Source organism: Homo sapiens, chromosome 22 (genome assembly GCF_000001405.40).
Source record: "Homo sapiens chromosome 22, GRCh38.p14 Primary Assembly".
Lineage (NCBI taxonomy): Eukaryota > Metazoa > Chordata > Mammalia > Primates > Hominidae > Homo > Homo sapiens.
This window is the reverse complement of record NC_000022.11, coordinates 21,429,971-21,455,125: the sequence shown is the minus strand read 5'-3', so window position 1 is coordinate 21,455,125 and position 25,155 is coordinate 21,429,971. Positions and strand designations below refer to the sequence as shown.

At 55.4% G+C, this 25,155-nt stretch overlaps 1 protein-coding gene across 4 annotated transcripts in view, besides 3 other annotated features; it reads right to left on the bottom strand.

Moving 5' to 3' along the window:
• Positions 1-3,662: 3,662 nt before the first annotated feature.
• HIC2 (HIC ZBTB transcriptional repressor 2) overlaps positions 3,663-25,155 on the bottom strand; it is a 34,093-nt gene continuing 12,600 nt past the window's right edge. For 2 of the 4 annotated variants that reach the window (NM_015094.3, XM_011530008.4), the window contains exons 2-3: positions 12,269-12,367; positions 3,663-10,204 (exon numbers count right to left, since the gene is read on the bottom strand). In NM_015094.3, coding sequence (NP_055909.2) covers positions 8,383-10,204; positions 12,269-12,294 — 1,848 coding nt within the window. In that variant the 5' untranslated portion in view covers positions 12,295-12,367 and the 3' untranslated portion in view covers positions 3,663-8,382. Of the gene's footprint in view, positions 10,205-12,268; positions 12,368-16,778; positions 16,870-17,507; positions 19,210-25,155 lie in introns of those variants that run through there. The other 2 variants (XM_011530009.2, XM_017028669.3) reach the window with 2 other exon arrangements.
• Positions 5,207-5,760: an enhancer, noted in NCBI's record as "H3K27ac-H3K4me1 hESC enhancer chr22:21803655-21804208 (GRCh37/hg19 assembly coordinates)". NCBI's record gives its function as "activates a minimal SCP1, AML or CMV promoter by ChIP-STARR-seq in primed H9 embryonic stem cells {active_cell/tissue: H9 hESC(primed)}" and the evidence as "EXISTENCE:reporter gene assay evidence [ECO:0000049][PMID:30033119]".
• Positions 17,212-17,748: an enhancer, noted in NCBI's record as "H3K4me1 hESC enhancer chr22:21791667-21792203 (GRCh37/hg19 assembly coordinates)". NCBI's record gives its function as "activates a minimal SCP1, AML or CMV promoter by ChIP-STARR-seq in naive H9 embryonic stem cells {active_cell/tissue: H9 hESC(naive)}" and the evidence as "EXISTENCE:reporter gene assay evidence [ECO:0000049][PMID:30033119]".
• Positions 17,749-18,284: an enhancer, noted in NCBI's record as "H3K4me1 hESC enhancer chr22:21791131-21791666 (GRCh37/hg19 assembly coordinates)". NCBI's record gives its function as "activates a minimal SCP1, AML or CMV promoter by ChIP-STARR-seq in naive H9 embryonic stem cells {active_cell/tissue: H9 hESC(naive)}" and the evidence as "EXISTENCE:reporter gene assay evidence [ECO:0000049][PMID:30033119]".

Here is a 25,155-nt window from a genome sequence, read left to right as displayed (position 1 = left end):
CCCGTCTCCACTAAAAATACAAAAATTAGCTGGGCATGGTGGCACGCACCTGTAGTCCCAGGTAGTCGGGAGGCTGAGGCAGGAGAATTGCTTGAACCTGGGAGGCGGAGGTTGCAGTGAGCCAAGATTGCGCCACTGCACTCCAGCCTGGGCAACAGAGTGATAGTCAGTCTCGGAAAAAAAGAAAAAAAAGTAAGTCCTGTGGGAAACATTTCTTGGAATATTTAGCATGGGGACACTTCCTTTTGTACTAAGATGAAAACCACCTCCAATTCCCACTTCCCGACCTTTGCTTTTTCACATCCCTCCTCTTTTTGGGAGCAGGGCAGAGGGACACCTTGGGCACGCAGAGCCAAATAGGATGCTCAGCCACACATTTTAGCCCCCTGGAAAGCATGGCAGCTTTCTCCTATTCCTGTTCTTTTACTGTGTCAAACATTCTCCACTCCATAGAAGACTTTTACTGCAATCCACCTCAAATGGCTTTTGGAAAACGACTTATTTTTTTTTCTTTTAAAGATAGAGTCTTGGCTGGGAGCAGTGGCTCATGCCTGTTATCCCAGCACTTCGGGAGGCCGAGGTGGGTGGATCACGAGGTCAGGAGATCGAGACCATGCTGGCAAACACGGTGAAACTCCGTCTCTACTAAAAATACAAAAAAATTAGCCGGGCGTGGTGGCAGGCGCCTGTAGTCCCAGCTACTTGGGAGGCTGAGGCAGAAGAATGGCATGAACCTGGGGGGCAGAGCTTGCAGTGAGCTGAGATCGTGCCACTGCACTCCAGCCTGGGTGACAGAGCGAGATTCTGTCTCAAAAAAAAAAAAAAAAAAAAAAAGAGAGTCTCACTCTGTTGCCCGGGCTGGAGTGCAGTAATGCAGTCATGGCTCACTGCAGCCTCAAACTCCTGGGGCTCAAGGGAGCTTTCTGCCTCTGCCTCCTGAGTAGCTGGGACTATAGATGCATTCACCTCACCTGGCTGAAAAGCTGGTTTTTGTTTTTGTTTTGAGACAGGTGTCTCACTCTGTTGCCCAGGCTGGAGTGCAGTGGCACGATCTTGGCTCACTGCAACCTCTGCCTCCCGGGTTCAAGTAATTCTCCTGCCTCAGCCTCCCGAGTAGCTGGGATTACAGGTGCCCACCACAATGTCTGGCTGCTTTCTGTATTTTTAATAGAGATAGGGTTTCGCCACGTTGACCAGGCTAGTCTTGAACTCCTGACCTCAGGTGATCAGCCCACCTCGGGCCTCCCATAGTGCTGTGATTACAGGTGTGAGCCATCACGCTTGGCAAAGAAGCAAGGTTTTTTTTTTGAGACGGAGGCTCGCTCCGTCGCCCAGGCTGGAGTGCAGTGGCACAATCTCGGCCCACTGCAACCTCTGCCTCCCGGGTTCAAGCGATTCCCCTGCCTCAGCCTCCTAAGGAGCTGGGACTACAGAGGCGTGCCACCACCCCCAGCTAATTTTTTGTATTTTAGTAGAGACGGGGTTTCACCATGTTAGCCAGGATGGCCTCGATCTCCTGACCTCGTGATCCAGCCGCCTAAGCCTCCCAAAGTGCTGGGATTACAGGTGTGAGCCAACGCACCCGGCAGCCCAGCTAATTTTTTGTATTTTTTTTGTAAAGACGGGGTTTCACCATCTTGCCAGGCTGGTCTCGAACTCCTGACCTCTGGTGATCCACCCGCCTCAGCCTCCCAAAGTGCTGGGATTGTAGACATGAGCCACCGTGCCTGGCCATAAATGAAGTTTTACTGGAATATATCCATGCTCATCTGCTTACATATCATTGGTGGCTACTTTTTTTTTTTTTTAAGAGTTTTGCTGGTCGCCCAGGCTGGAATGCAATGGCGTGATCTCGGCTCACTGCAACCTCCGCCTCCTGGGTTCAAGCAATTCTCCTGCCTAGATGGAATTCAGGCACCCACAACCATGCCCAGCTAATTTTTGTCTTGTTTTTGAGACAGAGTTTCACTCTTGTCATCCAGGCTACAGTGTAATGGCACAATCTCAGGTCACTGCAATCTCTGCCTCCTGGATTTAAGAGATTCCCCTGTCTCAGCCTCCCGAGTAGCTGGGATTACAGGCACCCACCACCACACCTGGCTAGTTTTTTGTTGTTGTTGTTGTTTGTATTTTTAGTAGAAAAGGGGTTTCACCATGTTGGCCAGGCTGGTCTGGAACTCCTGACCTCTGGTGATCCACCCACCTTGGCCTCCCAAAGTGCTGGGATTATAGGCGTGAGCCATTGCGCCTGGCCCCACTGATGGCTACTTTTGCACTATGACAGAAGGCTGAGTAGTCACAACAGAGATGGTGTTACCTGTAGAGCCTGAAATATTTACTATCTGGCAGCCAGAGGCAGTGGCTCACACCTGTAATCCCAGCATGCTGGGAGGCCAAGAGGCTCACTTAAAGCCAGAAGTTCAACACTAGCCTGACAAGATGGCAAGACCGTCTCTACAAAAACAAAAAAAAATTAGCTGGATGTGGTGGCTCACACCTGCAGTCCCAGCTACATGGGAGGCGGCAGTAGGAGGATCAGTTGAGCCTAGGAGTTTGAGGTTACAGTAAGCTATGATCCACTGCACTCCAGCCTAGACAAAAGCTGGAGTAAATATATATATATGTAAATCTATATGTAAATATAGATTTTATATATCTAATATAAATATATATATTTTTACAATCTACTTAATAGAAAGTTTGCCAACCTCTAGATCAAACTACACATTTTACAAGTATTTGGTGGATATAAATTAGGGAGAAGAGAGTATAAATGAACTAAAATCCTTATTGATAATAAGTCCAGACTCCAAAATGGAATAAGACAGCAGTGTAAGAATACTACTTAGACACATAGAGATAAATGCAGAAGAAAGTGCTAAAATAATTCAAAGTGATTGGCTGTATAGTATGGGATGGAGTTGGGGAGATAAACTATTTTTGTTTTAAGCCTTTTTGAGAACCATTTAATTACTTAAATTCTATTCAGGAATTACTTTGATAAAGCCAAAAAATCATTTTAAAGCAACTGAACAGAACTCACCAAGACTTAGAGTAGCTGCGCTCAAGTTCTTCTGGAGTCTGGGGTCACTGGGTTCATCTCCGGCTGCCAGGAGCCACCAGATGTCTGCAGTCCATGCCAGAGGTCTAAAGTGGCAATCACCCTCCACCCCTGCTCCTCCTCCTAGGTCTTCACACGAGGATCCCCATTCCGGGTGGTCCCTGGGGATTAACATTACCCCTTTTCCTTCCTCCCTCCCCTCCCCTCAGGCCAAGCACCAGGAAGCAGCAGTGGGCAGAAGGGAGCAGCCCTCGCCTTGCCCCAGCCCTTCCTCAGTCCCAACTGAGCCACTCCAATGAGGGGTCCCAGGCACTGGGCAGCCATCCTCCTCTCCCCAGTCACCAGGTCCATGCTGCTGTAACTGCACACACATCGCTGCTTCCCAGACAGCCTCAGCTAACTCAGGCCAACACTGCCCAAGAGGATGCTGACCCCAAAGTGCTAGTTCCCTGGCACGGTGCACACCCCCAGGACCCACCAAGCACCACTGAACAGTGGCAGGCAGATGCCCATCCCAGACCCCACCCTTCTAAGACTTAGAAGCCGTGTCACTTTGCTAGAGAGAACAGCCAAAGCAGAATATGGAGGTCCCACACCAGAGTTTTCAATCAAGCTTTTAATGAAAAGATCATAAAATAACAGTTTCTTATCGCTGTACATTTAAGACTGCACACTTCTGAATGGAGAGATCAGTCGTTGGTGAATTGCTTTTCTATGACACTGGGCAGCTGTGTAGCTGCAGCTCTGACCTGAATTTATACAAACTCTCAAGGGACATGAACTCAATGTGACAAGTGACAGCGGCGGTGGCCAGTACAGGAGTGCGATCCCGGTGTCCCTCCCCCCTTCTGGGAAGGGCATAAAACAAAACATGATCCCTCTTCCAGTTCCAATTAAACAAAACAGCTATAACCCCATCCCTCCCCCCTCCCCTTCGAGGTATTTGCGAGAAATGAGCCAGTGCCCAACCTGGGTCCCCCCCGGGGTGGGAGAGGGCAGAGGGAAGCTAGTGATGGGTGGGGTAGAGAGGCTCCCCTCAGCACCTGGCCCCACGGGGCCCGCCAAGTGGAGGGTGGGAGCCCTGGGGATCCTCCCTGCCCCAGTGAGGTCTGTTATGCAGCATTTTTGAGGTCAATAAATTACAGCAATAAATAGCAAGGTGAGGTAGGGGGAGGGGGTCCTGGTAGAAAGTTAAAGTGGGGTGACTGAAGCCGGGGCATCCTAGGAAGGGGGTCCTGGGCAGCCTCAGTTCCCACCGCTCATGCCCACCCCCACCCCGGCGTGGAATGTCAGACTGAGGCTCCAGTTAGGTCCCTCCCCAGCCCTCACTCCTGGCGTCTGATTCACAGGTTCAGTAACATCTGCCCCAACGGGGTTCTGGGAAATAGGAGGACCTTGGTCCCTTTAGGGGGCATGCCAGGGCTGAGAGCCCTTGTCTGCTCTAAGGCCTGGCACCTTTGGCTTTTGTCCCCCACGCCTGGGGGTGGACGGATGCAGCCTCCTGCTCCCTGAGCCCTGCCCTCCGGCTGCCCAGGCCTCACCCCAACTCAGGATGGCCGCAGGAGGGCAGGGGGTCAGCCTGCCCAGCGGCCCAGCCCGGATCGCACTCCTGCACAGGGCCTGAGGTCCAGTGAATACTGACGGATTTTGGGAGTGGGTGGGCGGCCCGGTGCCCCCGAGTGGTGATGAACGGTAAACACACAGGGCTGCCTGAGGTGGGGAAAGTTGGTGAGGGTCCGGATCGTTCATTTCACAGGCTGAGGTGTATGGCTATGCTGCGAGTCTCTGAGATTCTTATTTGCTTAAAGGTTCATCTTTTCTCTTCCTTTTTTTTTTGCAATCCTGGAGGAGCCCTTGCTGGGGCTCGGTCCGGCGGGAGCATGCAGTGGCGGAGCCCGGCCTGCCACCCGCTCACTCGCCCCAAGTCTGAGAAATAAATACATTCATCACTGCACAAACATATTGATACAAAAACAACACTGTTAAGAGTGTTTGCACCGTCTATGTTGGTAAGGACCAGACCCAGTCAGCCCCTTCCGCTGCCTGGGGTGGGGTTAGGGGGCCCCAGGAGTGGGGACCCACCAGAGTCGACAGAGCTGCGCAAAGGTCCCGGCTTTTTGGCTTGAGTGGGACCCTCGCATCAACCCATCCCCAAGGGTCACGGGCAGAGCAGCAGGGGGACCCAAGCCCAGACTCGGGTCCTGTGGCCAGAACTGACGGCCATCCCCGCGTAGGCTAGCTGGTCAGGACCAGCATGGTCCGGCCAGAGGGCCTTGGGGGCTGGTCAGCACGGGCCCAAGCTCTTTGGTGCCAGCTGGGCTTGGAGGGGCCCTGGGAATGGGGACGAGGGCTCAGGTGACTCCAGGGAGGCTTCCAATCCCTCCCCCAGCCCCAGGGCTACCCTTCTCTGCCCGTGAGCCACTCCAGGGCCAACTCAGAAGGGTTTCCAGCAGCAGGGGAGGGTTCCCTGGACTGGCCTTACAGCTGCTGAGGTCTGAAACTGTAAAAGCTTATGTAAACAATGAGATAAATATATTAGCATCTTTTTTCTGAGCCCATGGAGGTTCCATACTCATTCAAAATGTGCTTTGGTTTAAAAAATAGGCTTTGTGAATTTGGGTATGAGCTTATTTTTTTTTCTTTTTTCTTTGTTTATCCTCTCTTTCCTACATGATATCTGCTATTTTCTGATTCCTGTTTCTCTGAAACATTCAGGAATTAAGTGACGAACGCAGAGAACTGTAAGCCGCCTTGGCCTCCAATAACCCAGTTTCCTTGTGAGGCTCTTAACATCTCCACACACACACACTCGCACACACCTGATGTGGAAATCAAAGGAAAAAGAAAACAAAGCCAAATGTTGTGTTAATCCCGCCCCGCCCCACAAACCCTTAAAGTCTTAAATAGGAAACTAGTGTTCTGCTTTCTCATTAAAACACAGAAAAGGCTCGATACAATACTAAGGTGGATACAATACTATGTCGCACAAACGTCGTTGAGTGAGGGGCCTCTGCTCCCAGTCCCTGAAGTTCTGCAAAGGAATCACCTACTTTCACGAGTCACCTCACAGATGCGGCTGCCCACAGCCCGGGAGGCCATGCACACGGCCAGGCGCGTGAACATTTCCCGTGCGGTACAGACTTTGTGTCATGTGGCTTAAGTGCTGATGGGGCGGGGTGGCGTCAGGACGGCAGGAGCCCCCTCACTGAGTATGGGTGAAGTCCATGGGTCTCCTCCCCCCAGGTCCCTAGCCTGACTTGCTGGAACCTGAGACCCAGGGTCCAGTCCTCTGTCTCCCACCAGGAGGGAAGAGGGGCCATCTTAGGCTGGGATCACCACAGGGAGGGCTCAGCCAGGAGCCTCATCTACCCAAGCTCCCTCACCCCCAAAAGACGCCGCTCACCACTTGGGTCCCTGAACTCAGGCTCTGTTTTTAGCTGGAGGGTCTCTAGAGGGGTGGGGGTAGGGGATGACTCTGTATTTTTTTGGTCTAAACTTAAAATAGAATGAAAAGAGAGAGAAAAAAAAATGGTGAAGCAAGATGACAATAAAGGCTGCCAGCCCAGCCCCACAGCTTCAGCTGGCTGAAGACAGTGGGACTGAGATCAGCAACCTTGGTCTGACCTTGAGAGCCCACTTCAGGGCCCACAGAAGTATCTGAGGCTGGCTAATTACCAAGATGAGGGGCGAGAGGTGGGCCCCGAGACAGTGGCCGGGGGCCAGGACTGCTCAGGGAAGTGCCATCCCTGTTCCCCGGGGGGCCCTGTGGTCAGCTCTCTCAAGCTTAAAACTCTTGCAGGAATGGAGGATAGGAGTGGCAGGATGAGGGCTCACTTCCGCCTCACCCTGGCCGGGAGCTGCAAAGACCTGCCACCCTCCTCATGGTTCCCCTGTCAGCACCCAGTGCCTGGCTCCAGGCTGGGGCCTCACACCCCTCACCTATACCACAGAGGTTTGTGTGCCCGGGGTGCCAGGGTCCCCTCGAGGTGGATGTGGCCAAAGGCTCAAAGGGAAAACCCACAGGTGAGCTGCAGGCACTGGGCCACTTGGCGCCCTGCTGGCTCCTGCACACGACTTCCTAGGTGCTAAGCGAAGGAAAACAAGAGTGTCAAGGGCTTCCACTGCCAGTCACCAACATATCGTTGTCATGAATTCAAGAGGTAGCAAAAGGTCAGAAGTCTCCACCTTGTTCAGCGAGGAAGGAGGGAAAGCGAAACATCTGCCCATGCATACGGCACACACCACACATAGACACACACATACGCACATACACACACACACACGCACGCACACACAAATGAAAACAAGAGTACCGACGGCCCCGGCATTGAGTCTAGCCTCCCCCCACCCCCCGGAACCCCAGACCTTCCAGTTCAAACAGTCACATAAACGTTACACTGGTTTTTCTCTTAATAAAAAACAAGTACCTCTAAACAAAGAATATTCCTTGGAAACTACAGGAAAAGCACTCTCCCCTGAGGCAGCCGAGGCAGGGCTCAGGGACCAGGGAAGCCTTTGGGCAAGAAGGGCTTCTGGGGCCTGGAGAGGTGGCGCGCCGACACCCCTGCAGCGCCAGAGCCGGGGGACGCGCAGGAGTGCCAGCGGCCCCTGTTACATTCAGTCTTCAGACCCAGGCTCAGCCCCGGAGGGGGCGGAAAGAAAATAAGCTATTGTCTGTTTTGGTTTAAAAAACAAAAATCAAAAAGAAAAACAGAGGAACAGATCAGTAGGAATAACAGCAACACAGGCCCAGAGGGCTCTTTAGATGTAGAGAGGTAGGCGGTGGGGTCACCCTGACTGTCCCAGCGCCAGTGAACAGTGCCACCCTGGCTCAAGGAGGGAGGGATCTGCACCCCCAGCACCTGTTCCCTGCAGAACCAGGGCTGCACGCGCCCGCACAGACACAAGCACACGTGCACACACACAGACACGGCCAGCGGGGTGAGGCCTGCTCCCGACACCACCCTGGCCGTGGCCAGCGTCCCACTGCCCTTTCTCCAAGCCGCCTGCAACAAAGGGACCAGGTCCCAGCGAGACCCACGTGACCCAGCCCACAGGCCCTGCGGTGGCCCCCGCGGGGAGCTGGGGGCCTGGGTGGGATGGGGAGGTAGACGGGCTGGGACCCCTGGCTTCCCTCCTCTCGGCTCTGCTTGGTACGGACTGTCCATTAAAGCTCTGGGTGTGGGCAGTGGGGGCCAGAGGGGCCACCCGGAGCCTCCACTGGACCCAGGGTCTTGCCCCTGCTGCTGCATCACCTCGCTTCTCCTTCCATGGGTTCCCGGGGAGCAAGGTGGCAGAGGGCGCCCGCGGGTCTTTGGCTTCTAGGAGGGGGAGGTGTGCATGCGCAGGTGGCTGATGAGGTTGCGCTGCTGGGTGAACTTGCCCCCGCACAGCTGGCACTCGTAAGGTTTCTCGCCCGAGTGCACACGCATGTGCTCCGTGAGGCGGTACTGACGGGTGAAGCGCATGCCACACTCATCGCAGGCGAAGGGCTTCAGGCCCAGGTGGCTCCGCATGTGACGCGTCATGGTGCCGCGCTGCGTGAACATTTTGCCACAGATGTTGCAGGGGAAGGGCCGTGTCAGCCAGTGCGTCTTCTCGTGCTGCCGCAGCGTGGCTGGGTCCTTGTAGGTCTTCTCGCAGACCGAACACTTGAAGGGCCGGGGCTCAGCCGTGTAGGCCGCACTGGGTGCTGACAGGTCCTCGGCCTCCTCCTCGGCACCCCCACTGCCTGTCTCGTAGGCCCCCTCTTCCTTGATGAACAGCTCTTCCTCCGTGTGAGTCTCCACGTGCGCATTGAGCTGCTCAGAGCTGGGGAAGCCCTTGGCGCAGGGAATGCACACATACAAGTTGTCCCCGTAGGACACCGTCTCGTAGCCCTCCTGCCGGTACATGTAGTGGGCGCTGGCATGGCCGCTGCCCCCCTCGCTCCCGCTCTGCGCACTGTCTTCACTTGCATCCTTGCCGTTCTCCTCCTCCTCCTTGCAGGGGTAGGGGGGCTCCCCATAGGGCCCGCTAGGGCCAGCCCCACTAGCCAGGATGCCATTGGGAACCCTGTCCCCGACCCCCTCACCCTCCTCTCCCGGGCAGGGACCCTTGGGCCCTGCTTCTCTCCGCTCAAAGGGGGAGCCAGCCACAGGCTCCTTCTTGCCCCACTCCTTCTTCCGAGTGGAGTGCCGGAGGCTCTTCCGAGGCTGCCCACCAGGCGCCTCCAGCAGGCTCAGGTGGTTGTCCTCGGCCCCCTCCAGATCCATGGGCTCATCAGGGGTGCCCCCCAGCTCAGAATAAGAGGCACTGTTGGCAACGGGAGGAGCAGAGGCCGCAGGGGGCGAGCCATGTTGGCTGTCGCTCAGCTGGGCTGCGTCATCGGGAGTGAGGTGGGGACCTGGGGTGGCAGGGGGCAAGGGTGGGCTTTTCTTGGACAGGTCCAAGCCCAGCTCCTGCTCGCAGCCCCCGCTGCTCCCGTTGGTGCTGCTGCTGCAGCCCCCCAGACCCGCCTCCCCGCCAGCTGGGCAGACAGCCCGGCCCAGACCTTGCACGCTATCCTGGTTAGAGCCACCAAGAAAGAGTTCATCGTCTGAGCCTTTGGCTTGGGGGAGCTCCTGGGGGGCGTGGGCCCCCTTGCGCCCATCCACGAGCCCCTGATACCGAGCTTGGATGACAGAGGCCGTGGACAGCCGCTGGCTGCGGGGGGGCCGCCCCATGCCAGTGGACCCCGCCCTCCCAGAGCCAAAGGGCTTGCCGGCTCGCTTGAGTTTGCGGCGGCAGAGGGCTGCCAACTCGGGCAGCTGGAGGTAGCTGGCGGCAGTGAGGAGGGTGCTGAAGTTGGGCTCGGCTGGCTGGTCGCTGGGCAGCAGCTTGCCTGTGTAGATGAAGTCCAAGATCTGCTGGAACACTGTGGAGCTGACCATGTCTGTGTCCAGGTTGATGAGGTTGTCGTGCAGGACCAGGGACTTGAAATAGATGCTGCTGGCGGCTAGGACGTTCTTGTGGGCCCGGAAGATGGAGTTCTCCACCATGATGATGACGTCACACAGGAAGCCCTTGGTCCTCTGCTGGTTCAGCTGCAGCAGGAGCTGCTTCGAGTGGCTGGGCAGCTCCATGTCGGGCCCCATGTCCCCGCGCCCTGCCCACGCGCACCACCTGTGGGCAAGAACAGGCACGCATGCGTCAGATGACTGGCACACTCGGACCAGGGCTCTGGGGCAGGGTGGGGCTCGACGAGGCAAAGGGCCTCAGAACTGACCCCACATAGGGCAGGAGCCCCTGCGGCACAGTACACGGCACATAAGCCCACAATGCCCACCACATGCAGGCGCAGTACACGTGTCACCTCACTGAGGACTCAAACTGAGAAGGGACAGAGGCCCCTGCCCCATTTGCACTAATGAGAAAATGGAGGTGGAGGGTGATGAGGGGACAAATAGAGAAACTGGGATTTGCATTTGGTTTCACAGCCCGGGCTACTGTCTCTACACTAAATGAAGTCAACCCTCAGGGACCAGAAGGGGACCCAAAAATGACCAGATGGCTTTAAACTTCGGGAAGCAGAGGACTCCGTGAGAGGAGCTTGTCTTGAAAGCTGGCAAAAATCCCCCAAAACTAAATGGTGGTTCCTTTTGAAATACGGCAGGGCCCAAATCAAACTGCCAGCAGTCATGTTGCTGCCTCCCAGATGCTGCAGTCAGCCTGCAGCCAGCCCTGCCTCTCCCCAAGGCCCTGGGCTGCCTCGCACTCTGGGCGGGCGCCAAGTGCTGCCCCAGCCTGGGCTTCCAGCTGCCAAGGAGGAAAGGTAGCTTAGGCCAAGCACCTGGCACCACCTGAACCCTCCGTCCTCTCTAGGAAGGGCAGCACCATCTGGGCCTAGGAAAGGTGGACAGCTGGCCTCCATCACACAGAATGGCACAGGCACTAACTGAGATCAGTAAGCAAGAAGCACACTGACGCCGCTGGTCTCTGCAGGAACTCTGACGGCCCAGGTGTGTTCCTGCTTATGCAGCAGCAAGACATGGGGTTCTGAGCGGGTGCTCCTCGCCACGCTTCCCATCCCCACTGAGCAGCCTCCTCTGCCATGGACCAGGCACCCCACAGTGGGAGTACAAGGGCAGGGCAAATGGGTGCACAGTGGGCACCAGATAGACGCCGGGGGGAGGAGGGAAATGTCCCTCCAAGGGCGGAGGCAAGGACTGTGGCCGGCGGTATAAAGAATGACTCTGGAAGGCTTTGAATGACTCAAAGCCATCCTCAGCCCTAAGCCCAACTCCCCAGTACAAAACGCAGTACTCCCAGCTCCATCCTCTCACCCCTACCAGAGTCCCTCAGAGAATGGCTCAGCAGGAGGGTGCTGGGGAAGGCATGCCAGTGTCCAGGTGGCCACCTGTGCCCCGGATAGGCTCACAGGCTTCCACAGGGCAGGGGGCCAGTGAAAACATGAACTTTCCTCATGGCTGACGGACAACCGAGCAGCGGGGCCCACAGGCAGCTCTGAGCCTCGCAGTTCAGGGTCCAGTCTCTCAGCAGCTGAACTACTCTGAGCCCACCGCCCTCTGGGATCTACTGCCCCTCCCAGAGTGTCCAGCCCTGCCTCCCAGAGCAGAGGCCTGGAAAGGGTCCCACCCTACCCAACCTTCTCATGACAGAAACTCTCCCCAGCCTCATGCCTACCCTTGTTTGCAAAGACAAAGAAAAACCCTAACATTCACAGGCCCCTGAAGGTGCCAGAGCTCAATGTGAACACGCAAGGGTGCAACACAGCCTGGAACACCGCTGGCACTCAGAGCCTAACAGCAAGAGGCAGCAAGCACCCGCCAGCGGCTCTCTGCCTAGCAGCCCAGCCCACAGCAGTTCAGGAGGGTGCTCATGGGCTGGAGACTTCGTGAACCAATCCTCCTCCACTCCCTGCCCGCCTCAACCCACCAGGCAGGGACAAAGAGCCCCCAAGGTGTGGCTTCCACACTTGGCCCCAGTAACCTAGCCCCCAGAAAACATCAGTGCCGGCTCTGCCAGCACCCAGACACCTGGTACCCCGAGACTGGCAAGGGGACTGGAAGAGGGCAGTGGCCTCCAGGCTCCCTCCACACTGCCCAGTGCTGTGTGCACACAAAGGACCACGGGTCAGACAGATAGAGGCCGAGCTGTGGGGCTGTGTGCCACCCAGAAACTCCGGGGAAAGGGGCCAGTGGCGGTCCCCCCTCCCCTGCGCCTCACCGGAGTGCCAAGGGCCCAGACACCATGTGAGCAGCAGCCAGCGGCGGGGGGGGCTCCTGAGCGCGTGGCCTTCCTGGGGGTGCATCAATGCCTGGTCACCTGGGGAAGAGAAGACGAACACAGTCACCCAGACAGCCATCAGCGAAGAAGGGAGGGAAGGGCGATGAAGGGACGCACCTGGGGGTCTCTGGCTGGGGCACCAGGGGCAGCCCAGCAGGAGACTGTGGCCACAGAGCCTGGTAGTTGGATCTGACAGCCAGGAAGAGTAAGGACCAGCGAACAGGTCTAGGGAGTTCGGTGGGTGCAATGCCTGCCCCTCTAACACACACAGGAGATTAAGGACACCCAGGGGCCACCTAGGCCAGGGGGCGCTGGTGGCAGACACACAATTCTTGGCCTGCGGGTGTGGTAGCAGGAGGCCTGGGCAGGGCCCTTCCCAAGCTGGCCACATTTACATAACAAAAGGTCAAAATTGGAGCCACTTGTGCAAGGGCTATTTATAAGAACCAGTCTCAACCGCTTTTGGCTCCCCCGTTCCTTCCCTTCCTGATCTGCTCTCACCGCCTCCCTGCCCAGAGGGCCCAGCCCCCTAGCCCGCCTGGCCTGACCACATGGCCTTCCCTCTCCAGAGGTTTCACTGCCTAAGGGCTCACCCAAGCTGCAGGCCTGGGCTTTCAATACCGGCCCACCAAAGCCTTGGGCAGCTGCCGCCAGGAAACGAGGGGTTCCCTCCCACCCCCAGAGCTCTGGGTCCTGCAGGAGGGGGGATCCTGAGGTGGTGGGTCCTTGCACCCCACACCTGCCAGCCTGGGCCCCCACGGAATAGAGCCGGGGTCGGGGAAGGGGCGTGCAGCGGCCCGTCCCCGTTTCCCCTTCCCCCACTCCACCCCCAGGGCCAGGGAGGCTCAGCAGGTCCCTCAGGAATGTGACCAGACCCGGGGTGCCGGCCCAGAGCTGGGAGGCCTAGGCTGCAGCTGGCCAGCTGTCTCTCCAGCCCCTAGTGCAGCTCCCCTCTGGGTGGGGGGTGTGAGGGGAGGGGGTGCATGGCTGGTCCAGGACCCCACCAAAGGCCCAGAGGGCAGCAGAACCAGCTCTGTTGGTAGGAAGCCCAAGGGCGTCCACAGTTAGCAAGGGTTGGGCCCAGTGGGCTAATGCTGGGATGAGGCCAGTAGGGCAGGGGCCACTGAAACACTGGCGGGAGCAGTCGAAAAACTGGGTAGAGGGTCTCGGTGGCACACTGGAGGCAATCAGATACCACCATCCAGCCCTGTGCCACTTCATCTGCTCCCCAACCACTGCCCCTCAGGACCCAGTCAACCATGGGTAGAGCGCATGCCAAACTCTGCAGCCAGGGGTCACCTGACCTTGCCAGAGGCCAGGCCAGCTACTGGATGCCGCGCAGGGAGTGGGTGGCAGAATAGGACTGGGGGGCACCTGAGTGCCATGGGGGTGGGAACACCCTCCGTCAGTGCCCACTGCCTGGCCCTGACGGGCACTTTACAAGCCCAAGGCTAGCACTAGGTCTCCCCACCAAGGAAGGATGGCCCCAGGCTGGGTCAGCTGTGATGTAGAACAGGGCAGGGCTCCTCCCTGAACCCTCCACTTGAGTTAGGGGGTGTCAGAGCCACCTGCAGAAAGTTCACAGCAAGCACAATGCCACCATGCGTGCCATCCACACCAGCTGGGCCAAGTCTGGGCCACATCTAGGCCGCCACTGTGTCTGCGAGCAGCAATGCAGCCTCACCCCATGGCGGGGCAGGGGGGTGGCACACGCCATCCTGCTGCGAAACGCCTACTAAGCACTGCTCCTTCCTTCTCAGCCACAGAGCTCTGCCCTACCCGCTCACCGCTGGACATGAAACAGCAAGTGCCTATCCTGGAGGGCTCCGCCTGGGGAGTGCCAGGTAACTAGAAACACGGCTCTGGGTGCTGGCCCGGATGCTGGTGCTCAGCCCTGGAAGCAGCTGACTGCAGGCTGCGATGAGAATGCCACCTAGCACCCAGCAGCCCCTGGCAGCAGGCCCGGGCAGCACGCCTATCAGCCCCGAGGCTAGCACGCCCAGCCCTGGCCTACTGCCCATCCAGAAACGCTGGCTCCCAGGACGCCCAGGATCTGAGGCAGTAGGGCAGCAGGCCTGGGCTATCGGGGCCAGCTGGGCATTCGCCTAAGGCTGTGACCCATCCCCTCCCTAGGACAGAGCCTTCAGGGGTCCAGGGGAGAGGCAAGAAGGGTAGCACAGAAACTATCTCCCAAGTTAGGATCCCTCAGCTCCAGGATTCCCCCTGTAGGTGGACTGGCCCCAGCTGGGAAGGACAAGAGCCCCAGCAGCTGGAGGGAGGGCCAGCTCTCTCTGCGGAATCCTGAAGGTCTGCAGGAAGGAACACAAAGCCTCGGGGTTACCTTCCCAGGCCATCTGTTAGAGCAGACACACGGCCCTGTTTACGGAACAGCCAACATGCCAACTGCTCTCCTTTCCTTCCCCTCCCAGTCCCCGCCACAAAAAAGCCAGAAAGCCAGGTCCCCAGACACTGAGGGCAGGCCCAGGGCCCAGGCAGGTGCTAGCGGGCTGGAACAGCACTCAGATACTCCAGCCTCTCAAGCCACTGGTGGCACATGCCCAAGCTCTGTAGAACTGGGCCAGCCACAGCAGCCCCACCCCCGCTCTGTTCGCCCTCAAAGAACTTACAGTAAGGCAGCTGCTCTGCAAGGCCCAGTCAGAGCCTACCCGGCCCAGCAAGTCCATTCTGTGGCAAGAAAAACCTTGGGGACACACATACCCAACTGCTAAGTAAGATTATCTCTGGGGAGCGGGATTACAGAAAAACCATAGTATCTGTATATTATGTTCATTTCTGTAATACTCAACATTTTAAAAAGTATTACCTTTTTTTTTTTTTTGATGGAATCTCATTCTGTCCCCCAGGCTGGAGTGCCATGGCGATCTGGGCTCACTGCAAACTCTGCCTCCCAGGTTCATGCCATTCTCCTGCCTCAGTCTCCCGAGTAGCTGGGACTACAGCCGCCTGCCACCACGCCCGGCTAATTTTTTGTATTTTTAGTAGAGACGGGGTTTCACCGTGTTAGCCAGGATGGTCTCGACCTCCTGACCTTGTGATCCGCCTGCCTCAGCCTCCCAAAGTGCTGGGATTACAGGTGTGAGCCACCGTGCCCAGCCAAAAGTATTACTTTTAAAACCCTAAAAATACAAAGGGCAGAAATGATGCAGAGACATGGATGAACCTCACAGTCGTGGCACTGAGTGGAAGAAGACTTTTGCGAGAGTACAGACTGCATGACTCCATTTACATCAAGTTCTAGAATAGGCAAAACGGACTGAGGGTAAAAACCAGAGCAGAACAGGCTGTGAGCGACAGGTGAGGACTGTCCAGGATGGGGCGAGGGACAAGCGCCCACTGCCTGGCCCTGACAGGCCTATCCAGGACGGGGCATGAGGAACTCTTTGGGGTGAGGGCAGCTCTCTAGCTTGCTGGGAATCTGGGTTAAGGTAAATGAAAATACAATTTTAGGCCCTTAATTGTATGTAAACTTTACTTCCAATGAAACCTCCAGACAGAGGCTTTCACAGGACATTCTCATCTCAGAAGCTCAGCACGATACCCTGGAAACACCACCAGCTAACCTTTCCTGGGCACTGTTGTATGCCCGACCATGTGCTATGTCACTGGAGCCGCAGGGCCACCCAGGAGCCTGTGCGTTCTGTCCATGTGATCAGGTGGGCTCCTCTCAATCTTCACACAGCACAGCTGAGCCTCAAACCCAGCACTCACCCTGACCTCTCACCTCCCCACAAGGTAGGAAAACCTGGGGCTGAAAGTGTGCAGGGACATGTCATCTTTAGCCTTGGGCAAAGGCAACCCTTCCCACTGATGATTTCCAGATCACCCAGGGGTATTGGTTCTGCCTCAATTTTCCAACTGGCACAGAGATCAAGGGCGACGGTGAAGCAGATTGGAAGGGCAAAGATGCCACAGTGGGAACAGGTTCCTATCCCTCCCGGCTGCTCCCCAGCTGGGTGGCCCTCAGTGCATCTCCAGAGGGCAGTCAAAAGCCCCAGGCCAAGACCACCCTGCACTCTGGATCCCTCTACTCGCTCACCAAACACAGACCAGCCAAATAACCAACGGGGATGGCAGAGGCCAGGGCACTGTGCACCCCTCGCTGCCTCCTGACACTCGAAGCAGCCCCCCATTGGGGGACCCACTAGCCCATGATCCTACGCGAGCGAGGTCAGGCCACACCTGCCCGTGTGTGGAGCCTCTGGTCAGTCCACGTGGCTGCAGGGGCCTGTGGGGAGGCTGGAACAGGGTTACCTCAAGGCCTTTCTTCTAAGCACCCAGCAAAGGGCAGGAGAGTGTGCTCTAGTCAGCATCTTTCAAAGGCCAGGAGAGAGGAGGTTTTCAGATCAAAGTGATCCCTGCTGAGGCAGAAAGCAGGAAACTCCAGCCCCAATTCTGAGAGGCACTGCCCCAACCCAGCCTGGATACCCACCTTGCCTAGAACCTTGGCCTCCAAGAAGCCAGGCATTCAGAACTGCTCCAGGTGCTGGGCCTCCACATGGCTCCTTCTGGAGGCCATGACTCTGGGAGACAGGAACACATCTCACGCCCACGTCCAGGCCCACAGGCGGGGGTCAAACTCATCTCAGCCACATGATAACCCTGCCTTCAGACTGAAACTTCTGGCTCACGCCCAGCCAGGAGGGAGGCCTGGGGAGAAGGGTGAAGACCAGGAAAGGGCGCCACCCCAAGCAGGCCATCCCGCCTAGCCCTCCTAGGATCCTTCTCATCCACCTTCCTCCCTGGAAGCTATCCTTTACTACCAAGAAAGGGGCTTCCTGCAGGAGGCCTGGAGCTATGCTGGAGGACTGAGGAGAAGCTCCCCCCAGCCCACTCCCAAGGAGCAGCACCTTAACCACCTCCCAGCCTAAACAAAAGTAACAGTGAAATGAGAACCCTCCAGCTGACGCCAAGACAGCTGAGAGTGAGCAGGGCCGCCCACGGCCCGCCCGAGCTCCACTGTCAGGTGGGAGGGACAAGCATGCCAGGCTGAGAAGCCATGCTAGGCAGGGCAGGGCCACCAGGCAACTTCCACAACCCAGAGGTCTAAGTACATCTGACCAGGGTCAGAGAGAGCCCCAGACTTGCTGCCACTGCTCCCAAACTTCAGTCTAAGGTCAGCATCGGCCCTGGTTCCAGACCAACCCCCAACTATAGTCACCTCATACTTCAGGTGTGGCCGGGACAGATGCAGCTGCAACGGGTGGCCCTGTGTGAGCTCAGCCTCTTCCCAGGAGCCCCTAAGCCATGGGAGAGACTGCCTGGAAGGCACAAGGCAGCCAGGCAGGAGGCAGCCAGTATCCAGAAGTGCCCCAAGGCCCAGCCCCTGGACACACCAACCAGCCCTGCACAGTCACAAGCCCAGGACTTTGTTCATCCTATCCCCATGGCCTGGAGTCCTCCCTGAGGAAGCCTTGGTAGACAAGAGATAGCTCCAAGGGGCGAAGGCTGCACCTCGCCCACCGCCACAGCCCTGTATGAGATGGCAGCCTACATGTGGGCAGGTCTGATCTCCTCAATCTTCCCACAGGCCCAGTGAGCGGGGCGTTATCTCTGCAGTTTCAGATAAGAAATTAAAGGTTCTTGGGGGTTAAGCAACTTGCCCAGGGTCACAAGAGCATGTAGGTAGCAGAGTGAGGACCTAAAGCCTGACTCCAGAGTTGTAGTCTGATGACCCCCCCGCCCAACGCAGGCAGGGCCAGGGATGCCACTCACACATGGCTTCCAACTGCCAAGCTGCTTGGGGGAGCTAGAGGAGGCACCGCCCTCCATGCACTGGTGTGCCAGGAGCAGGGACTCCAGTCTGCACCTCCACCCTCACTCCCCCACCCCCCAGCACCACCTGCCTATCCACAGCAGGGCCCCACCTGGGTGTATTCTCCCAAACTCACTGTGAGGGCATGGGGTCTGCCCAGCTCCTCCACCAGAAGTGACAAGGTGGAGCCCCCATGCAGCCTGCTTTGGAGGCCCAGGTTGTGCTTGCTGCTCCTCTGGGAACACCCCCACCCTCCATGACCTCCTTCCCTGTCCCTTCAGGAATGGGCTGGTGGTGGGTGGGGCTCACTGCTCTGGGCAAGCCCAGCCATGTAATCCAGCCCAGACCTGGATGCCGGCCAGCAGCTCCTGGCTCTCCTCCCAGACCATCCTCCTGGAAAGCAACAGGCTCCACAAATGCCAGGAGCCCAGCTCTCTCCAACGCAGCTTCTACAAAATAAACACTCGGGTTCCACTCAACACATTGGTGATGCAGCGATTGGGACCTGAGGCTGGCCTCCTCCTCCTCTGCTCCTCAGGCCAGCCCTGTGGCCTAAAGTGAGGGAGGTAGCATCCACCCCAGCCCAGTGACTTTCCCAAGCCCGTCCTGAAATGCCCATGGGACCTACTGATGACCTCGTACTGCCCACAGCAGGGCCAAGCCCTGCATGGTCCGAGCCACCCGCCCATGGGTACTGTCCCTTCTGAGGTGAGGAAGCCCGGGCTAACACCCCAGCACAAGGAAAAGGCTGGAATGGGCTGCTGAGAGGAGAGCTGGACCGAAAGTGCCTCCAAACTGTGCTTCCCCCAGAAGGTACAGCCTCAGTCCCCTCCCTCTCCTCATCACTTCCGGGTTTGGAGCCAGCAAGGAATGAGGCCAGGAAGACCTTGGAGACCTGCAGCTGATTTCCCCTGCTAGTGCTGGCACCAAGGAGGGCCCCAGGCCTGGCACAGTCTGGCTGACAGTTCTGAGACAGGATATTGGAGACAGGCAGGGGAACATTGCTTTAAGAAGCAGAATAACGGCCAGGTGCGGTCTGTAATCCCAGCACTCCGGGAGGCTGACATGGGTGGATCATGAGGTCAGGAGATCAAGACCATCCTGGCTAACACTGTGAAACCCCATCTCTACTAAAAATACAAAAAATTAGCTGGGTGTGGTGGCACGCGCCTGTAGTTCCGCTACTCCGGAGGCTGAGGCAGAATTGCTTGACCCTGGGAGGCGGAGCTTGCAGTGAGCCGAGATCGCGCCACTGCACTCCAGCCTGGGTGACAGAGTGAGACTCTGTCTCAAAAAAAAGAAGCAGAATAACAATTTAAGGTTGTGATAGTGACTACGAATGCTGTGCTCACCTCCAAACTCCATCCCAACACTACCCTGCCCCCTAAGAGGGGCCTGAGCATGGGGTAAAAGGCTCGCTGACAGCCACAGAGCAGGAGCCCACGCAAGACCACCAGAGGATGTGCAGCCGCTGTTCCTAGTAGGTGAGGAAAAAGCAGGAATCTGGCATCCACACATGTCAGGAGGCAAAACAGGCCCTGTGCTGGTTTCTGCAGTCCTCTCCAGCCCACTTCCCTGCTCTTCTTGCTCACTGGCCATGACCCAAGAAACAGCAGCAGCACCACCAGGGATCTTGTTAGACACGCAGAGGCTCAGACTCCATCCAGCCCTAACCACCAGAACCCTGGGGGCTCAAACACACAGTCAAGTCTGAGAAGGGCTAGGTTAGAAGCTTTTTTTCCTTCTTTTGTTTTTACCTGGACACCACTGATTGGAAAGCTCTCTACGGCCTGAAAGCCAAGCGCTCCACAAGTAGTAAACGCTCAAGGGATGGGCATCAAGTGGAAGGAGAAAGCCCCCAAAACGAAGATACATGTCCCATGTACACAAGCTCACAGGCTGGTGAATACAAACGGTAGACCTAGAATGTGCCACACCAAGGCTGAGCGTGTTACCACAGGTACCAGAATGGTGACCACGCTGGAGGGTTCCACAAACCCTGATCAGAGAAGTAGGCGTGAGTGGCAGGCAGAGAACACAGCTCTGTGTGGCAGGGAGGGAGGACAAGCAGTGGCAGCACAGCAGACAACAGGTGGAAATTCTACATGAAAGGCACTAAATGGGCGAGGAAAGCCTGGGCCGCCCAGGTGGAAGGGACTATCGTGATCATCTCTCTCACCCTAGGGACACCTTAAAAGGAGGTAACTGAGCCCCAAAGGGAGGCACCCAGCACAGCTGAGTCACAGAGCTGCAGCCATCCAACCCACAGCTCCAGGAGGGACTCTCCAACTTCACAATTTCAAAATCAACCCTAGCAGCTAACAATTTCTTAATGCCAAGTAAAGACTAGAATTAGAAACAAACAGAAACCCTATCATCTTCTACCATCATTACTTCACAAAAGAAAACATTTCAATGATCAAAGAGCAGGAAGAACTACTGGCAGTCCTGCACCTATGCAGTTCTCCAGGCCTGGCAAAGGCTCTGAGGCAACCAGCATGAAGGAGCCACTGCACCGTCTGTACGCAACACCGTCTGACCCCCGGGCTGGGACAAGACTGAGATGACATGCTGAAAGGGAATCAGAAAAAACAAAAACACAAAAATTCAACAACAGATACTAAAGACGGGATTTTGACTAGCCAAACAAAGACTAAAAGAGTATCTCCCAGGGATGAAAGGAAAATGGGGATGTTTTTAAACAAGACCAGGACTGTTCCAGAAACAATAAGAACGTCAAAGCCCATCAGGAAAAAGGTAACACCAAATGTTGGCCAGGCAGTAAGGCAACCAGAAGTCTCACATACTTTATAATTTTTTATTTTTTTGAGAGAGAGTCTTGCTCTGTCACCCAAGCTGGAGTGCAGTGGCGAGATGGCTCACTGCAACCTTCGCCTCCCAGGTTCAAGCAATTCTCCTGCCTCAGCCTCCCGAGTAGCTGGGATTACAGAAGTGCAGTGCGCCACCACCCGCAGATAATTTTTGTATTTTTCGTAGAGATGGGGTTTCACCATGTTGGCCAGGCTGGTCTCCAACTCCTGGCCTCAAGTGATCTGCCCATCTCAGCCTCCCAAAGTACTGAGATTACAGGCATAAGCCACCGCACCTGGCCAGAAAACTCACATGGTTTAGAAAACCCTTGGATGGCACAATCTAAAACTGTGGGCCCAAGGCCGTGGGTGGTGGCTCACGCCTGTGATCTCAGCACTTTGTGAGGCCAAGGTGGGTGGATCGCCTGAGGTCAGGAGTTTGAGACCAGCCTGGCAAACATGGTGAAACCCCGTCTCTACTAAAAATACAAAAATTAGTCGGGCGTGGTGGCAGGCTCCTGTAATCCCAGCTATTTGGGAGGCTGACGCAGGAGAATCACTTGAACCCAGGAGGCAGAGCTTGCAGTGAGCTGAGACTGCGCCACTGCACTCCAGCCTGGGCGACAAGAGCCAACTTCGTCTCTAAATAAATAAAGCCAACAAGCTAGCTAGCTAGCTGTGGGCCCAAAAACTCACCCAAGGTATACGCCAACAAGAATGCACACGTAATGCACACCAAACAGGCAGGCACACTCATGAAGGCCCAACAATGGAAAACAACTATGCCCACCCTGAGAAGGGACAGCTGCAGGTATAAAAGACTATGAGCCAGCAGTGAACAGGACAGAACGTTTAGGTTGAACTGTATGAATTTACCTTTTAGGGGTAAAAAAACAGCTGGCTGCTGATAATTTCACATGGTTTGACTTACAAACAACGCAGATGAATCTCTCAAATATACTTTTGAGCAAAGATGCCAGAGCCAAAAAGACTATTACAGTTCCATTTGCATACATTCAAAAGCAGGCAGCACTAATCTTATGGGTGGGGGTTGAGAGTGACTACAAGCTTCAGGATACGTGAGGGGCTTCCAGGGTTGTGTTTCGCACTCTGGATGCTAGTTACAAGGGCATAATCATTTGTGAAGAACTCTTGGAGCTGTGCACACTTCTTACGTAGGCTGTCCTTGAATTCAATACGTGCACAGAAACCTTCAGAAGGGAAGCAGAGATCAACTTCATCCTGATCAGCAAGTAGACTCAGTCCAGGCAGCAACCTCTCCTGGACCCCCAACCAATAACAAAAACACAGGAAGCAAAATATTGGCAGGACAGCTGGCAACGCGGCAATGTCCAGGATGGAGTGCCCATCCTAGAGGAGGGAGCTCACACAAGCCAGCCAGGAGCCCACAGGAAACAGAGAGACTACTGTAAATCCTTATTAAGAGCAGACTCATCTCTGCTATCTAAAAGATAAAAACCTGATAATGTTTTTAAGTTGTCCTAAGGTCCAATTGACTTTTTTTTTTTTTTTTTTTTGAGACAGAGTTTTCCTCTTGTTGCCCAGGCTAGAGTGCCATGGTGCAATCTCGGCTCACCGCAACCTCCGCCTCCCGGGTTCAAGCGACTGTCCTGCCTCAGCCTCCCGAGTAGCTGGGATTCCAAGTGTGCACCACCATACCTGGCTAATTTTGTATTTTTAGTAGAGACGGGGTTTCTCCATGTTGGTCAGGCTGGCCTGGAACTCCCGACCTCAGGTGATCCGCCCGCCTCGGCCTCCCAAAAGTGCTGGGATTATAGGCGTGAGCCACCACACCCAGCCCCAGTTGACACTTCTAAAGGAGAAGGGGTTCTGCAAATCCTGAAAGGCAAGCCCAGGAGAAACAGGAAATCTGGGAGCACGGCAAGCGAGGTTCAAACAGGACACCAAATAATTCCCAGCAACCGCCTCCAGCAGGTCCTGGTGGCAGCCAGGTAGGGCAGGAGCCGGCTGGGCATATCAAAGGGAGGAAGCCAAGAAGAAAATGGGCGAGACTCTCAGGGATTTGGGGTCAAAGGAAGCCGCTGGGAGAAGGAAACAGCCCACTTGCTCCTTCATAGGTAATCAACACACAAACCCCCCAGTGCCTCAAATGGCTCAGGAGCTACAGCCAAAGATCAAGGATCAAGTTATTTTACTCCAAGAAAGAAAAAAAAAAAAAAAAGTTATACGTTCGGCATCCATTGGAAGTTTTGTGATTGTTTGGAGACAGGGTCTTGCTCTGTGGCCCAGGCTGGAGTGCAGTGGCGCGATCATAGCTCTAATTTCTGGGCTCAAGGGATCCTCCCGTCTCAGCCTTTTGAGTAGCTGGAACTAAAGGTGCATGCCACGATGCCCAACCAATTTTTAAAATTTTTTGTAGAGATGAGGTCTCACTATGTTTTCCAGACTGGCCTCAAACTCCTGGGCTCAAGTGATCCTCCTGCCTCAGCCTTCCAAAATGTTGGGATTACAGGTGTGAGCCACTGTGCCAGGCCTTAAAAAGCAATTTTTACAGATAAAATTGGGCAACTGCTATGGAAAATATTACAATCTATGGTCCTGTGCCTGAAAAGCCTCCAAGTGTGATACTTTATAGAGAAGAGGTCTCTCCTGTCCAGTAGGTAACTTGAAAGTGTCTAAGAGACAAGTGCCCAAGAACTCAAAGAATGAGAGAGGGATCCATTCAAACTCAGGGAGAAAAATGCTCACAAAGTTTCACTGTACTTCTAAACTGAGTCTCAGTGGTGCATTAAGGAACTGGATTTAGAGACAGAAAACAAAATAAACTGGCACTTCTCTGCCTCAAGAAGCATAGCTTGGGGGTGAAAAGTCAGCTACTTAGAAGGCAGCAAAAACAAAACCCAGAAACCCACCCAAATGCTCACTGCCAGCAGGACAGGTGATTATGTGTGGATGGCGCCACCTTGGACACTGAAATGGAGAATGGGAACACAGGAACTGCTGCTCCTGGTGTCCCAAGAGTGCAGGACACCCGGCTCCCAGCGAACTGAGCCAAAATCATTCGCAGTTTCAGGATCCAGACAAAGGTGGGAAACCGACAAAAGCCAGCGAATGGCTGACCCGCAATTCAGAAGACTGTTGGCTTCTAGAGGGAAGTGGGAATAAGCCAGGGAGAAGTGCATGAGGTGTCCCAGGAACTTGGGAGGCTATTTCTTATGTGGCCATGAGGGAACAACGGTGTCACGCTTAGTGGGACACCCACGATTCAACCAATAGTAGGTTTACCACTACTTATCTCTCTATTCTTTAAGATTTGTGCACACACATATATACATGTAATTTACCTTTGTTTTTTTTTTTTTTTTTTTGAGTCTTCCTCTGTCGCCCAGGCTGGAGTGCAGTGACACAATCTCGGCTCACTGCGACCTCTGCTGCCCGGGTTCAAGCGACTGTCCTGCCTCAGCCTCCCGAGTAGCTGGGGATTACAGGCACCCATCACCACACCCAGCTAATTTTTGTGGTAGAGACAGGGTTTCACCATCTTGGCCAGGCTGGTCTCAAACTCCTGACCTCAAGTGATCCGCCTGCCTCGGCCTCCCAAAGTGCTGGGATTACAGGCGTGAGCCACCATGCCCGGCCTATTTACACCTTTGTAAATAACTTCTTAGAGTTCAATGGCTAAGTCTACTAAGGAAGCTGAGCCTGCTCTGTGCAGAAGTCTCAAAAGAAAGGAAAGTCGGGTGTGGTGGTTCATGCCTTTAATCTGAGCACTTTGGGAGATTGAGGCAGGAGGATCGCTTGAGCCCAGGAGTTCAAGACCAGCCTGGGCAACACGGCAAGACCCTGTCTCATTTAAAAAACAAACAAACAAACAAACAAAAAAACAGAGAGAGAGAAAGAGAGAAAAGAAAGAGAAAAAAGAAAGAGGAAAGAGACCTCCCTGGAAATCCCAATCCAGGGAGAAGCCAAGAGGCTAAAGCTGAGGTGCACTCACAGAGCACCTCCCTTTCACCACCCGAGAGATCACCTGGTCCACAGCCGTCAAACTCAGCAAGGCCACACACTTGGGCAGCTATGACAACAATGCACAAATGAGGGCTTTGGAGGGCTCAGTTCCCACAAGAGATAACCCAGAAAATATCACCCTGTCCTAATCATACAAAGCAAAAGAACCTGGGGCCTCCACACCTGGGGTAGCAGGTATGCTTCACTCAACAGAAGTTGTCCAGGAGGGAGAAATCCCAGGCAACCTCCCAAGGTCT